The sequence below is a fragment of the Homo sapiens genome, chromosome 18, assembly GCF_000001405.40.
Source record: "Homo sapiens chromosome 18, GRCh38.p14 Primary Assembly".
Taxonomy (NCBI): Eukaryota; Metazoa; Chordata; class Mammalia; order Primates; family Hominidae; genus Homo; species Homo sapiens.
In genome coordinates this window covers 28,339,222-28,355,199 of record NC_000018.10, presented here as the reverse complement: position 1 = coordinate 28,355,199, position 15,978 = coordinate 28,339,222, and the positions used below count along the sequence as shown (strand labels likewise).

Here is a 15,978-nt window from a genome sequence, read left to right as displayed (position 1 = left end):
GAAAATTGTGATAATCTTACCAGGAAGCTATTTGGCAATAAATACCAAGAGGTATAAAAACATTTATAGGCCATAGTACTCTATCATAAAAAATAACTAGATATTACAACAAATGTATACACAAAAACATTATTTGTTACTGAGTATTTTAAAAGGCAAATAGTAAGAAACTCAAAAAAAATCAATAATGGGAAACTAACATCTTATAATAGGTAGTAATTTAAAATTAAATTTACAAAGCAGTTAAATGACTTTGGAAAATGCTCCACAGCACTTAAGACTCTCTCAAGTCATCATGAGATGGCCCTAAAATTTCTGTTATTGTGCCAATCAATTTGGCTTCATCAACATAGAATATTCCACACTTATCTGCCTCATAACGAAAATATCCATAAGGATACCCCTGACATGATTTTCTGTGCTGTTAGAATACAAATCTTCTCCACTTATTATTTTAAAAGCTGGTACATTTTCATTTAAATAAGTAATACATTACATTTTCTCTCTGTTAAAAATACAACACATCACAAGAAAATAGAAGAACATCTAAGAACATCAAGCATAGCATGAAAGCTTCATTTACCACCACTTCCACCATCATTCGCTATCAAAGGAGATCACAAAGTGCATCCTTCTAGTCTACTTTCCATGAAGTCATATATATGCAAAATACATACATGTATAAATACATGTTATGTATGACATATCTATACACATGCATATAATCACATATACATGGATATACATATGTGTATATATATATACACACACACACGGATATTTGTGTGTATACACAACAAAAATCCATCAAAAATCCATCTAAAATCATCTAAAATTGCTTTCTGCTTTCAGTCTTTACCAATTCATATCCTACCAACAGTATTTGCTCATACCCTGACCAATATTAGTAACTAATTACTTCAAATTTAGTGAATCTTAATGGAAGAAAAATGTCTTTATAATTTTAGTCTGCATTTATGAGAGTAATTATTTTCATATGTTTATCAGCCATGTGTATGTCTTCAATAGTAATTTGCCTGTACATATCCATTGACTATTTTTCTATTTGTGTGTCTTTTTCCTCCTGATTGATAGTAGCTCTTTATAATTTATACATGTTTATCCAGTTGCTGTGGACATGTTGCCGTCATTTTCTCCTATTCCTTATTTTTAAATTTAGTAATATCTTCTTTTTTGGATAGAAGTTTTAAATTTTTACAAAGTCAAATTTGTCAGTTCTTTTTTTAAAGCTTTTGGGATTTGCATTTTTCTAATAAAGATAATTTGCCCTTGTTATTTTAAAAAATGATTGCATTATCTCTTCTTGTATTTTTCTTGTTTATTTACACATTATATCTTTAATTTCTTATATGGGGTTTCCTAGAAAAATGCCCATCTTATCTGGATTTTTCTATTTATTGTCAAATAATATATCCATTATTTTTATATAACATTTTAATCTCTTCAATATTGATAAAAACCTCTCCTAATTTCTCATTTTTAGTTGTCGTATTCTATAGTGAACTAGAATAGGCTTGCCAAAGTTGAATCTATTTTATTGGTCATTTCCAAGAACCAGCTTTCATTTTTATGGTTTAAGTCTTCTTTATTAATTTCTACTTTTATTTTTATTAATTCCTTCATTGTATTTATCTTCTTTGACTCTGTAATCTTCTTGGTATCTTAATTCACGTATTTATTTCTCCTTCTTTCAGTTTTTCTTATTTTCTAACTCATGTATTAAAATGTATTTAATGTATATAACGAATTTAAAGTTTACTCTTTCTTCTGAATAGATTTTCAGCTGTTAAATAGCAAAATTATCCTACCAATTACATCTGTTTTAGTATTTGCACACAGCCTGAGAGTTCCATATAAATAGAACATTTCAAAGCATTCAATTTATTTTTATATTTGGTCTTCTAGTTTTATGCTTTCTATACTTAGTGTATTTCTTTTACATTATGTTTAATTTTTCTTTTGTGATTTTAAAAGTAAATATTCTGTTTTCATTTTGTGTTAATTTTTTTATTTTAAAATACTGAACCTGTGTCCACAGTTATATCAGTAATTTCAGAGCATATCCTGACCTCTTGTATGTGGAACGAGAAAATTATCACACTTTATTTCACTTCTACTCTTTATTTCACTTCTACTCTTCACTGTTTCTTTTATGTTGGTGTTGTTACAACCTGTATTTAATCCTTAATTATTTTTAAAACACTTGATTTTTATAATTTTGTTGTAATGATTTAGCCTTTTACCATCAGGCATTTTTCGTAGCACCATTTAAAAATTCTTTGTTGAAATGTTTATTTTCTTATACCAAAGTAAACTTAAATATGACCTTAAAGTGTTTGATAGTTGTTTGTTTTCAGACTAGAACAAATGACGGCTTTTCAGTCTTTTCCTTTACAATTTCCCATGTGAACAGGAACTTGACTCGGGTTCAGGATGTTAAAATCACAGCCTTTTTCCTTAAAACCCCTTCTGTCAGAGCTTTCAACCTTGTGGGCCAAGAATGGGCTGCAGCTATGATGAAAAGGTAGGAAGCACCTCAGCTGAGGGTGGCTGAGAAAACACCTGGCAGGTGAAGCCCTAGAGTTGCACCTGGGGCTGCAAAGACCACTGGGCATTTACCATACAATATTTTTATTTTCTCTGCCTTCTCACATTGTCACAATGTCGTAAAGTCCTCAATAGATGTTTCTCTATTATTTTCTCTTCTTTATCATTGTGAAAAAGTATGAAACCCAGATGGTTTTTCTCTCATCGTATTTAGTCATTTTCTTCACTGTAGATGATGGTATGTTTCTTTGTCATTTTTGAACATCCATCAGATTGTATCTATATACAGTTCCTTTTAATTACAACTCATGAGCCATTTGAATATACAAAGTAAGTGTATTACTTAATTTGAAACGTTTTCTATCTTAATACGTTTGCATATTTTTTTTTAGGTAATTATCCTTACTCTTCTTCAGAAAAAAAATCTTTCATATTTGGGTCTCTATTATTTGTCTTTTATATTAATCTGATTTCCATTAGTTCTTTTTACCTCATTTTTGTTTTTCACTGAATCCTAGGCAGCTTCCTAAGCTGAACTTTCATATAATTCTTGATTGTCTGCAGTTTCAGTTCTGTTCTTCACTCTGTCTTCGACTACTAGAAAAATGTTCCCCAGTTTTTAATACATTTTATAACATTTTTATTTACCACATTTATATTACTCTATATCTGTTGTTCCATGCATGTTTTCATCTCAGTCATCTCATGGCGTCTATTCTCTACATTGTCAAGTATATCTTATTTTATAAAATTTGATTGGATCCATACTTTTATACTGAATAAAGCAACAAGAGAATGTGGAGGCCAAGGCCCTTGGCCCTCTAGAGGTTCGCTGAAAATCACTGACATGAGGCAGATTGATTAACAGGGGAAAAGGCATAGGAATTTATTTAACATGTATACCCGAGGGTCTTCGGAATGAAGGCCCAACCCCTCAGTAAGGTACAAAAGCTTATACACCATCCTGAGGTTAGATAAAGAATGAGGGTGCAGACCATAGCCAAAAACAGGTTATGGTGATAAATCGGGTTTTACTGGCAAGATAGGTTGTGAGAGAGAGAAAGGAAGAAGCTTGTCTAGGAAAGCAGGTCTTGTTATATAGAGGAAATCTCGAAAGTAGCATTCCTCAGAGAGAATAGATGGCAAATGTCTCTTTTCTGACCTTTAAAGGTGTCAGGCTGAGTTAATCTCACCTGGATCCAAGAAAAGCCTAGAAATGGAAGGCCTGGCTTCATTAATGGAGATTCTGTAGAGAGACAAATTTCCTCCACAAAAGATAGCTTTGCAAGACCATTTCAGCCTGCTCGTGCTGCAGCAGCCATTTCAAAATACCTCAAAGAGATGCATTTGGAGGTAAAGTATTTTGATTTCCTTCAAGAATATGCACTTTTGTAACCGCCCAACAAGTTCACCTTGCCCACTGCCTAGACAGCGCCTATTTATCAAGACAGGGGATTGCAATAGAGAAAGAGTAATTCATGCAGGGCCGGCTGTGAAGGAGACCAGAGTTTTATTATTATTCAAATCAGCCTCCTCAAAAACTCTGGGATGGGAGTGTTTAAGGATAATTTGGCGGGCAGCGACAGGGGAAGTAGGGCGTGCTGATTGGTGGGGCTGGAGATGGAATCATAGGGGGCTCAAAGTGTTTTTCTTGCTGTCTTCCGTTCCTGAGTGGGATTGCAGAACTGGTTGAACGAGATTACTGGTCTGGGTGCTGTCAGCTGGTACATCAGAATGCAGGGTCTGCAAAATATCTCAAGCACTGATCTTAGGTTTTACAACAGTGGTGTTATTCACAGGAGTAATCTGGGGAGGTTCAGACTCTTACAGCTGCAGGCTGCATGGCCCCTAAACCATAATTTCTAATCTTGTAGCTAATTTGTTAGTCCTAAAAAGGCAGACTGGTCGGCAGGCAAAAAGCGTTTTTTGTCTGTTTGTTTGTTTGTTTGTTTGTTTCCAAGAAAGGGATATTATCATTTTTGTCTCAAAGTTAGACTATAAACTAAATTCCTTCCCAAGGTTAGATTAGCCATCACCCAGGAATGAACAAGGACAGCTTAGAGGTTGAAGCAAAATGGAGGTGGTTAGATCTGATCTCTTTCAGTATTATAATTACCTCAGTTATAATTTCTGCAAAGGCAGTTTCACTTCCTTGGACTCTTAGCACTTTTTTATCCATCCCTTTTTTTAACCAAAGCTCTTCATATGCCCTAGAGTGTCGTTTTTTCCATTTTACAGAATAATGATAAATTCATACAGACATCTATTCCCATCATACAGGTATCTAAGTGATTTCGGAAGCTCTCTCTCTCTAATTGAATAGCATTAGTTTTCTCTTATTGGATCTGAAGTTGGATAATTAGTTGATGTGTTGTATTTTTAGTTATCTAGAAGCCTAAGAAATATAGAGAAATAATTCTGAATAGTGGAAAATCTTTGCCTTTCAATGTTCTCTTTTGCTGTTTCTATTAATAGAAAAGATCCTAAACTACATGCCAGACCCAGCATCCTAAGGTTGTCATCAAATACCTCAAGAAATAATGTTTGTGTTTCTGAAAAAAAAAAGTCTGTCAAAACTTGCTGTCATTCACCCTCTACCTGGTGACAATCGCCTTCTTGCATATCTATTCTCAAATTCTACATGTCTCCTTCAAGTGTGTAAACTGACAAAAAATTCCTAAGCTCCTCCAACCAACTGAAGAGATCCCTCTTGGCCAAGGGGACCTCAGAGAAACCCAAAATACTGAATTCCCACCCATGATGGGATGAGATGTTGGACACACCTCATTATACCCCCTGCCTTTCGGAGCTTAGGTAAAATGGATATCATAATGATACAGGAGATAGAAAGAAATTATTTAGGCAGATAATGAGTGCAAAAGAGCCCTCAGCAGAACTTCCCTTCTAACAAAAGGCAGCCCTAGAGATCACTTCTTTTCTAACAAAGAACAGCCTGAAAGATTGAGCTGCAAACATAGATAAGAAAGCTGGAAGCTTGCATGGGGGGATGCTGGCAGCTGCACCAATAGAAAAGGGCTACCTGGGGACCAGGTGTGTCCACCATGGGGTCCCACCTTCCCTTTTCCATTAGCACATATGCAGTAAGAAAGAACTGGATAACATAGAGAAGTTGAGGCAGAGAACCCACCTGCGTAATAAAAGATCGGGGTGGGGGCTCTCAGAGATTTGTGCCCTATGCAGATGGCACACCTAGTCCTAACAGGTTTTTCGTGCCGTATGTAAATAAGACACTGCCTCCTGACTAGCGCATCTATAAAACCCCCAGCATTTTGCCGTGCTTAGGCAACCCATTTTTCCAGGACCCCTCTCTGTAGCAGAGAGATATTCTCTCTGTTTTGTCTGTTAAATTTCCACTCTTAACATCATTCTTTGTGTGTCTGCATCCTTGATCTCCATGGCTGTGAGACAACAAATCTCGGGTGTCACCCCAGACAACAAGGCCGCTTCAGTAAGACTGGCAAAACAGACTTTTTGTGGCAATAGATGCCAAATTGTAAACAAGATCTAGGGCTTTGGAAGGCAGGGTTAAGTCATGTCCTGCAAACAACAAAATCTCCTTAGATGGATTTTCATTAACCTGGTATAATGTGGTTTACTTTCCAACCTATAATGAGGCTACTTTCCAACCTCTTTCCATGTGATAGAGTATTACATGACAGATAGCAGACTCTAAAGGAAATCAAAATATTTCACCTCAAAATGTATTTCTTTGACATATTTTGAAGTAGCTCCCATAGGTCCAGCAGATTGAAATGGCCCTGCAAAGCCATCTATTGTGTGGAAAATTTGCATCTGTACAGAATCTCTATTAATGCAACCAGGCCTTTCCTTTCTAGGCCTTTACCTATATCTAGGAGAGACTAATGGAGAGCCTGGCACCTTTAATTTATGAAGACAGACATTTGCCATCGATTCTCTCTAAAGGCTGCTACCTATAAGGCTTCATCTACATAACAAGAACCTTGGCCTCCACAAGCCCCCTTATCTTAACTCAAGCATTTCTTTCTATTGACTTCAAGTGTTTAGACAAAGCTTATGTCAACTAGGAAATCAATGATTCCACCTATGAGGTATAATCCCCCCATTTCAAGATATTGCCCCTCTTTTGGCTAAACCAAAGTTTACCTTCTATGTATTTATTTATGGGTTTGTTTTGTTTTTGTTTTTGTTTTTGTTTCTTGAGATGGGGTCTCACTCTGTCACCCAGGATGGAGTGCAGTGGTGCCATTCCAGCTTACTGCAACTTCCACCTCCCATGCTCAAGTGATTGAACCTCCAGGCAGGTCTCCAACTCATGAGCTCAAGAGATTCACCCACCTTGGCCTCCTAAAGTGCTGGGATTACAGGTGTGAACCACCACACCCAGCCTATTTATGGTTTTACCTGCAATTCCTGTCTCCCAAAAATGTATAAAACCAAACCGTAACCCTACAGCTTTGGGCAAACTTTCTCAGGACCTCTTGAGACTGTTCCCTTGGCCATCGTCACTCATATTGGCTCGGAAGAAGCCTCTTTATATATTTCAAAGAGTTTAACTTTTCCATTGACAACTCATTACCATTAATTACACCAGAAAGGAGCCCTGATGGTTTGGGGCAGATGCTCTTTTCTTTTCCAAAATAAAAGAGCTGAAACACATAGCTACATTTATCTGGAAGCCAAGGCTAGGTTTTTTTTTTGTTTTTTTTTTTTTTTTTTTCTACAGTAGGTCACTGCTCTTAGACTCAAATAAACCACTTTAAAACAAAGATAAAATCTGGTGTTCTTCTCCATTGTGCCTGAATGTTGCTAGACAAATGGTTGTTCATGGAATGAATAAATAGCAGCACTTACTTACTTACCTGCCTGTATAACAGACTGATGGATTAGAAGAGCCCGATTACTGCAAGCAGCCTTAGTCTTTTGGATCCCCATTTCAAATGAAGATTCTTACTGCTGATCATGGAGATTTCAAAAATTTGGAGCATAGGTGACGATATGTCAGACACCAGTAAAAGAAAGAGCATGGCATCCATATCTCAGTGCACATTCCAGTTCTTTATTTTACCTGATCAGGATAGACTTGCTGTATTCCACTCTTTCTCATTCAAAGGGATAAAAAGATAAGTGACAGGTGAGGGCTCTGTGGAGACTGTTGTAACATGAGGTTCAAAAGAGAAGCAGGACCATCAGCTCAGATTTGAAACTAGTGCAGGGTGTAGAAAGACCTTTCATTACAGGTAACTGGGGTCATAAAAGTCCAGTCCAATGCTGGCCAACAGAACCTTCTGCGTAATGAAAAGGTTCTACATCTGTACATTTGACACAGTAGCCATTAGCCACGTGTAGCTATTGAGCACTTGAAATATGCCAGAATTACTAAGAAACTGTATTTTTAATTTTCTTTAAATTTAATTAATTTTTATTTAAATAGCCAAATATATTGGAAAACAAAGTCCAAGTCAAATCATTGACTTTAGTCAATATTCCTTTTCTAAAATCCAACCTCTGCCCACAAATTATCCCCAAGAACCAGTGAGGGCTTACATCAAGGAGGGTTTAATGCAAATATTATTTTTCTAAGAAATTTTCCTAAGATATATCACTCTAGATCTTAAAGGACCTTTTTTGTGTGTGTTAAGGAAGGTATGGAAGACTTAAGGTAACATTTGCCTTTTCCCTCTGGGATTTCTGGGTCTCGCTTTACAGGCCACATCTTATGGCAAAATGTGAGTCAGCTGGAGAACTCGGGAACCTTGGATGCTTGATGTCTTTTGGAAAGAAGCAGGCAATTTGATTCTCACCTTTTCTTTCCTCCTCCCTCTGGAGTCCCTTCCATCCACAGAGTTCCATGATCAATGATCATATCAATGAGCTCAGTGGTTCTCATGCTCCGTTCTCAGGAAATGGCAAGATTTGTTCTCATAAAATCAAACACCCAAAGCTCATGCTGATTTTTTCAAACCTGTGAGGATCCTTACTATCTCAGACAATCAACTTCTAATCTCACCGTGTCTGTAAAATACCACCTTTTTACTGCATCTTATCATATTCCACTTCTAAGTTTTTTTAATTGCCTAATGACCTATTTTATAGACAGCATGTGGTTAAAATTAAAGTAGCAATACTGTTCATTCCACGTACAAACTATTTTTCATCTTTGGAAAAACATTGATTACTCCCAGAGAACATTGCTGCACAGTAGTTATTACTTCACCATTTCACAGACTAAGAGTGGGAGGAGGAAATGAATAGGCTAAAAGGAGAATATCTGTGTGGCACCCTAGCCAGAATCAAAGTCGGGCTTTAGTCTGTGACTTTTCCTGTCAACTTCAGACCTGTCCTCTCCCTATTATAAGGTTATAAACATGAATCATTCTCAATTAACCATGAGCGTATTTTACATAGTAGATCTAAACGAGTACCAATAGACTCTGAAAATAAAAAGAAAGAAAAAACACACAGTAAACTGTTATTAACCACATTATGCTGTTATTTCCAACAAATATTTGATTGACTTAATCCACTAAAAGAACGCAGAAGTAGATGTTTGTGGAGCAAAAGAATTGCTACATCCTCGCCCAACCCTGATTTAGTCAGTAATGTCATAAAACCAAATGGCCCCTTACATGACTTACAAATCATCCACACACAGAAAAAGTGGCTGCTTCTGTCCCTAAATCTCTATCACCCATAGAGCCTTTCTTATCACTGCAAAAATAACTATACACAATGGTATGTGGGTGGGGGACTTTTATCTCTTTAGGGAATCTTTGGGTTCATAAGGAAAAGAGGAAGTTGTTTCTCTTTTGAGAAACATCTTTGAAGATTTTACTCCAAGGGAAAAATCTCGGTTATAAATATCCTGTCTATGTGGTTCTACCTGCCCCCAACATATCTCTCTTCTTCCTAAATACACTTCTTTTGGAAATCCCTTCCATTTGTCATAATGCCTAAAATTCTGCCAAATAGAGTTGCATTTTAGTTAACAATAATTATCTCTTAGAATTCAAATATTTTTGATAATATTGTAGATCTGTCACTTCACCTATACCTCATCATGCTATGTCAGGGAAGTTTGATTTTTAATTTTGGGAGCTGCAGGAGAGCTATTATGTTCAGTGGAGCAGACCTCTATAGAGTGCAAAATGTCGGCTAGTATACATAACATCAAATTCTACAATTTTTAGAAATGCAAAGCTTTTGGCTTCATCTTACAATTCTAAATCATTAGGTTTGCAATGGGTCCAAGACTCTTCATTGGAACAAATATCTGATGCATGTTGTTCAATTCCAGGACATGGTATCCCTGGGAGGTGTGCACTGTACAATCTGTGCATCTTGCATTGTCTTGGACATCACCTATTTTGATAAAGGCTTAGGTGATTAGAATACAGAAAACATTAGGGCTCATGGGGAAAGGACTAAAATTGAAAGACAGATGAATATTTGAAAATGACTCAGAGCCAAAAGTATAATTTGTCATTTCAAAATTTCATCAAGGTTTGGCTTTGGACCCAGGAGGAAAGCAGCAACTCCTCCCCTTTTCTACCTCCTCTTCTACAAAACTCCTTGCTCTCATAGCCTGGAATCATTTTATGTAGTTCAATTTCATATGGACAAAATAATCTTTCTGTTTCATCTTGGGAATCCATCCATCATCTTTAACACTAAGTACAGCAAGAAAATTTATAAAGTATAAATAATCCAACTAACCCTTCCCAAAGACAGGAACTTAAAATTTATAATAAAACGGAAACCAGACAAATAAGATTCCAAGAGAAAAATAAGTCAATTCTACATATTCAAGAACCAGCACGTAAAATGATTGTGTTGTTCCTCAAAAAAATAAAAAGAAAAAGAAAAAATTGCAATGATCAGGAGGAACATATGGATAATTATTGGCACATTCTAGGGTTTCGAAACCTTTGTGGTTGTTCCTTGAATGTTTCAATTAGAGTGCTCTAAATTTTCAAGGTGTAATATAAACTCATAAATAAGTACAAAAGAATACTCTAAAACCACTTATCAGTGAATTTTGGATGACTTTTTCTGTTTTTTTTTTTTCCATTAGAACAATCAAACTGATACCTTTATTCTTTTGCTATATGAAGGGTGGACCTCAGACTTGGAGCGTCAGCCATCACCGGGGAGTTTGTTAGAAATGCAGAATTAGAGGCCCCACCCCAGACTTACTGAATCCAAATCTGCTTTCCAACAAGATTTCTAGGGATGAGGATTTACATCGTCTTTTGAAAAGCACTATTTTATTTCACATCAAGACTATATCTAAGGGAAATTGGAGCGTATATACCACATCAGGGCTCCCCAGCCTCTAGTGGGGGAACCAAGGGTTCCAGGCCGCACAACAGGAGGTGAGCAGTAGGCTAGCAGGCGAAGCTTCATCTGTATTTACAGCTTCTCCCTATCGTTCACATTATCACCTTAGCTCTGCCTCCTGTGAGATCAGCAGTGGCATTAGATTCTCACAGAGGTGTGAACCCTATTGTGAACTGCGCATGCGAGGGATCTAGGTTGCCTGCTCGTTATGAGAATCTAATGCCTGATGATCTGTCACTGTCTCCCATCACCCCCAGATGGGACCATCTACTTGCATGAAAACGAGCTCAGTGCTCCCACTGATTCTACATTATGGTGACTTGTATAATTCATTATATATAATTCATTATATATTACAATGTAATAATAATAGAAATAAAGTACACATTAAATGTAATGCACTTGAATCATCCTGAAACCACCCCCCACCATGCCTGGTTCATGGAAAAATTATCTTCCACAAAATCCTTGTGCCAAAAAGGTTGGGCACCACTGTACTAAGTAGATACCCTCCAACGTTGATGATATTCAATATCTTGAGTCCAGGTCTGAAAATATGCATGGAGACTGAAGTTCTATAACTGACTTTCATAAATTAATCAATTTTTCTGAATGCCAGTTTCTATTTAAGAAACTGTATTATTGCCATTTAATTCCTACTGAGGATTCTATAAAATGAAGCTAAATTCCTCAATTCAGTGGTTGACCCATGAGTAGATAATGGCAGAGTCTCTTTCAATAGAGAGTAGGACCAAGGACCACATTAGCTTGGATTAAAAAAAAATTCAAAAACACATAAGACTGTAAAATAAAAGTTTATTCCACCCTTATTCAGATAGTAACCATTATTGGACTATCTGATAGTTGGCACCTTTCAGTGCAGCTGCAGAAGAGGAAAATGTTAAATTGAGCATCCATGAAGCACTTTAAATTTCTTTTGTTACTAAATCTAGAAGCAAACTGTAATTTTTACTTTATGACTCTCCAGTTAAAACAGCCAAACACCATCAGTAAAAGGACATCATCAAAATTGTGAAAATACACAAATGAAAAAAAAAGAAATGAATAAAAGAACAGATTCATAAATAATATTATTTTTCTTTTCTTTTTTATTATACTTTAAGTTTTAGGGTACATGTACACAATGTGCAGGTTAGTTACATATGTACACATGTGCCATGTTGGTGTGCTACACCCGTCAACTCATCCTTTAACATTAGGTATATCTCCTAATGCTATCCCTCCCCTCTCCCCGCCACCCCACAACAGGCCCTGGTGTGTGATGTTCCCCTTCCTGTGTCCATGTGTTCTCATTGTTCAGTTCCCACCTATGAGTGAGAATATGCGGTGTTTGTTTTTTTTTCCTTGTGATAGTTTGCTGAGAATGATGGTTTTTTACTTTAAATCATCTGTTTTTCTTGGTTATTAGCTTCCTAGAAGGTAGGTTCCAGATGCCCCATACTGGGATTTGATTTTCAATAACTTGATCCTTTAACTAGCTGTGATAAGCAAATGTGACTAGTTTACCAAGAGTCAAGGACAGAGTTTCTGTCCATTAGGGAATATTTCCCTTACTTCATTCTTTAACTACAGCTGCAGCCCATACCCAAGCCAATCAGCATAAAAATATATGCAGAAATTTTTAAAAGCAACATGCAAAAGTGTAGGTAGATAAACACAAAGCTATCAGCATAAATCAAACCACTTGAAGCATGTTTCTTTAATGAATTCATGATGTATGTGATGAGAAAGCTGATTTTTATTCACCATAAAAAATTATACAATTTTGATGACCCAATTTTGGTTCATTTAAATTATTTTATCTTCGATTTACTTTAACTTACTGATTTCTTATTGCTGACTTTGCATTATTCCAATTTATGACAGTCTCTGATTTCTTTTTATATCATTTCTACAAAATTTCATCCATTTTGGCAGTCTCTTTTCTAACATTTGGATATTTCCTAATTGACTATCATGTCTGAGGTAATCAACTTCTCATGGACAGCACTTGATCCTACCATTAGTATGAAAATGTTATATATTTAGCAGACAAAGGTATTATTCTAGTATTATTCTTTGAAAAATACATATCCTCATTTGTATGTAAAGAATAAAGAGAAGCAGATAGTTTTAACTTAGTTTATATAATTCAAATTCTTCATTTGTGCCATATAATTACATATATTTCATTTGGCTAATTGATAGGATGGTAAATCTAGCTTGATAAAACTTTTAAACAGAAAGAAATATAACTATTTTATAGGATTATGTCTGTGGTTAGGAGCTGGGAGCTTAGCAACCTTTGTAAATATACAAAGAGATATATACAACCATGCATAGAGTATGCACGTTCCTGAATGTCTATCAAGAAGCTTAATGCTATCAAAGTACTCCACTGATAATGAAAGTCAAGGCTCAAAGGACAGTAAGCATATTATTCCTTATAATGTATTATGCATCAATAGTTTCAGGCGGGCAAATCCTACCAGCCTCTCTCAGGCCACCACAACAGAGTTAGTGAAAAGAATATTAACTGTATCAAGAAATAGAAAAAGAGAAAGAAGAAAGGGAGACCAAAGGGAATAAAAATCTAGAGCTCCCCCCCTTTTTTTTGTTACTTTTGCCACCTTTTTCTATTTACCTTGTGTTCCAGAAATCTACTCTGTAGGCTTTTTGCTCTTACTCTCCATTCTCCCAATCTTCATCTGATGCTTTCTTTGCCTTCATTTCTCTCTCCTTTAAATTTTTGGGGCTTTATTTGCCATCAAACTCAATCCAAGGTCAAAAGCAAATATATACTTATTACCATTCTGTCCCAGATATTTACTTGTCAAATTTAAGCTATTTCAAATCAATTCTTCATTATGATCTCACTTCAACTTCAGCCATAATTAACATGTGCATCCCACAGCTCATGACATCAATTCCACCTGAGCAATATTCTTTTTATCTCTGCATATAAAAGCTACACTGGCACCAATGGCAAATTTTTAAATTTGCTGTCGTCTGTCTCTTTGCCCTATACAAGTGTCTAGTTGTCATTTCAATAAAGACAAATTGGATCTACTATCAGGAAATAGTCACTATTTTCAAATTTTTGACACCAAAACTTTTTGCTATCTTTAAATCCCTTTCTTTTGATCTCTCTCATATCATACTATGTTGGACAAATGTATTTTAGGCAGTTGAAGATTCTTTCTCATCATTGTGTAAGAAATGAAATAATTTCTATGTGTGTTTACTAGGCGATATATGCTTCACTTTGGGGCAAGAATGGCATGCAAACTCATGAAGCATTTTACATAAAGAAATTAATAATCTTAATATCAAACAAATTAACAGAAATCAAACAAATTTAATATCAGTCAAATTTACAGAAATTTGCATGGGTGTTTCGTAAAGGTAATACCAAAGGGTTTGAAGTAGTAGAGAGGGAAGTTTTTTCAACTTCATTATTTCCCAAAACAACACAGATTACCAGCTTTGCAAAATTTTCCCTGTTGAGTTTAACATACGGACTTTTAAATACAAAGGACTTGTCCCCAAGTATCAGAAACTTTCCAACTAATTTAAACTATCCCAATAACTTTGTAAAGACACATTAGCAATTTTCCTATGGCTTTGCTAGCTCCTTCCATCAAAACTACGAATTCTGAAGGTCTCTTGCTATTTCCATGCTGTCTCTTTGACTTACAGTCTGTTCAGAATGAGCCTCCTCATCAGGTCCCTGTCACAATAAGTGTGTGCATATGTCGGCTCATCTTTTTATTGCTCCTCTTTACATAAAGACAAGAGTCTCACTTATAAAAAATAGTTGCAGGAAAGTGTCAGTAAAAAAATTTAGCAACATCAAACTTTAAATAAAACACACATTTGGAATGTGATGAAAATTTTGCAAATAAATTTGATGGGTGGTATGGGGATGCTTGTTCTGTTTGTTCTGTTGTATTTTATTTTTTTACTTTAATATTTTAGGCAAAGTGACCCAATGAAACAACATTATATATATACAAACACATATATATATATTCACTTGATACGGGGTATATGCAAGTTGTTTAAATGTCAGTAGAGAAGGAATCCAGAAGAAAACGTTTTTGCTCTTTTAGCTCCCTGGTTAGGACCTCAGCTCACATTCTAAACTATCTGTCCTCTGATAGCAGCTCTTGCCCACTTCTCTCACCTTCCTCAGGGTGATACAAGAAATGAACATTGCAACTCAATAACATGCCTCAAGTAGTTTCTGTCATGCAAGTAATGTCAAAAAGATCATGGGGAAAATTTATCAAAATTGCAAATAATTAACTCCCTTTTGCCACTGCCATACAATAGCATTTGCAGCAGTCTTATTGTAATAAACAAAAAGTATTGGACCTATACCTATTTTTATTAGAAAAAGGGAGCACAATTCAATATTCTACTATTCAAGTTTTAACAAATTTTTGTAAGCTGGTACTGAAATTATACACTGAAACTAAATTATGTTTAAAATGGGTTCCTTTGTATAGTTTAGAACAGATGATTTCCAGATGATAGTCTAACTCAAAAATAGAGCCTAGAATTCAGAACAGTTCAGTTGAATTGTTGAATTTGTAGCCTAAGACAAAATGAAGGCCCCAAATCTGCTAAAAGCATGTATTTTTGGTCTCTCTGCTCCTTTAAGAATGTTCATCATGGATGCTATCAAATTTCTGTCAATTCTTAAAATAACCAAATATTCCACTCTTTTAGAAACATAAATAAGAAGAAGCACAGCTTCTTTCACATAACACAGCATAAAGCTTAAAATCAAAGTTTGGAGCTAAATCTGTTAGCTGGAATAGTTAAGAGCAGATAGAGGCAATGTCTGCATTGCCTCTGTTCTCCATTCCTTTCCCTTTTTTTGATTTTTTTCCTGTCTTACCAGACGCATAGTCTCCTTCTGCCTTGGGAAAGAGAAATATGAAAAAACTACATATGCTTTATTCTTTAACAGAATGTTCTTTTTCAAAACCAGAAAATATTATAGAATCATAAAATAATTTCAGATTCACATTTTTAGTGACAAATCTATTCCAATTTCAGCAT

General features: G+C 35.6%; 1 annotated feature.

Annotated features, from left to right (window-relative positions):
- Positions 3,734–4,235: an enhancer, noted in NCBI's record as "NANOG hESC enhancer chr18:25930929-25931430 (GRCh37/hg19 assembly coordinates)". NCBI's record gives its function as "activates a minimal SCP1, AML or CMV promoter by ChIP-STARR-seq in primed H9 embryonic stem cells {active_cell/tissue: H9 hESC(primed)}" and the evidence as "EXISTENCE:reporter gene assay evidence [ECO:0000049][PMID:30033119]".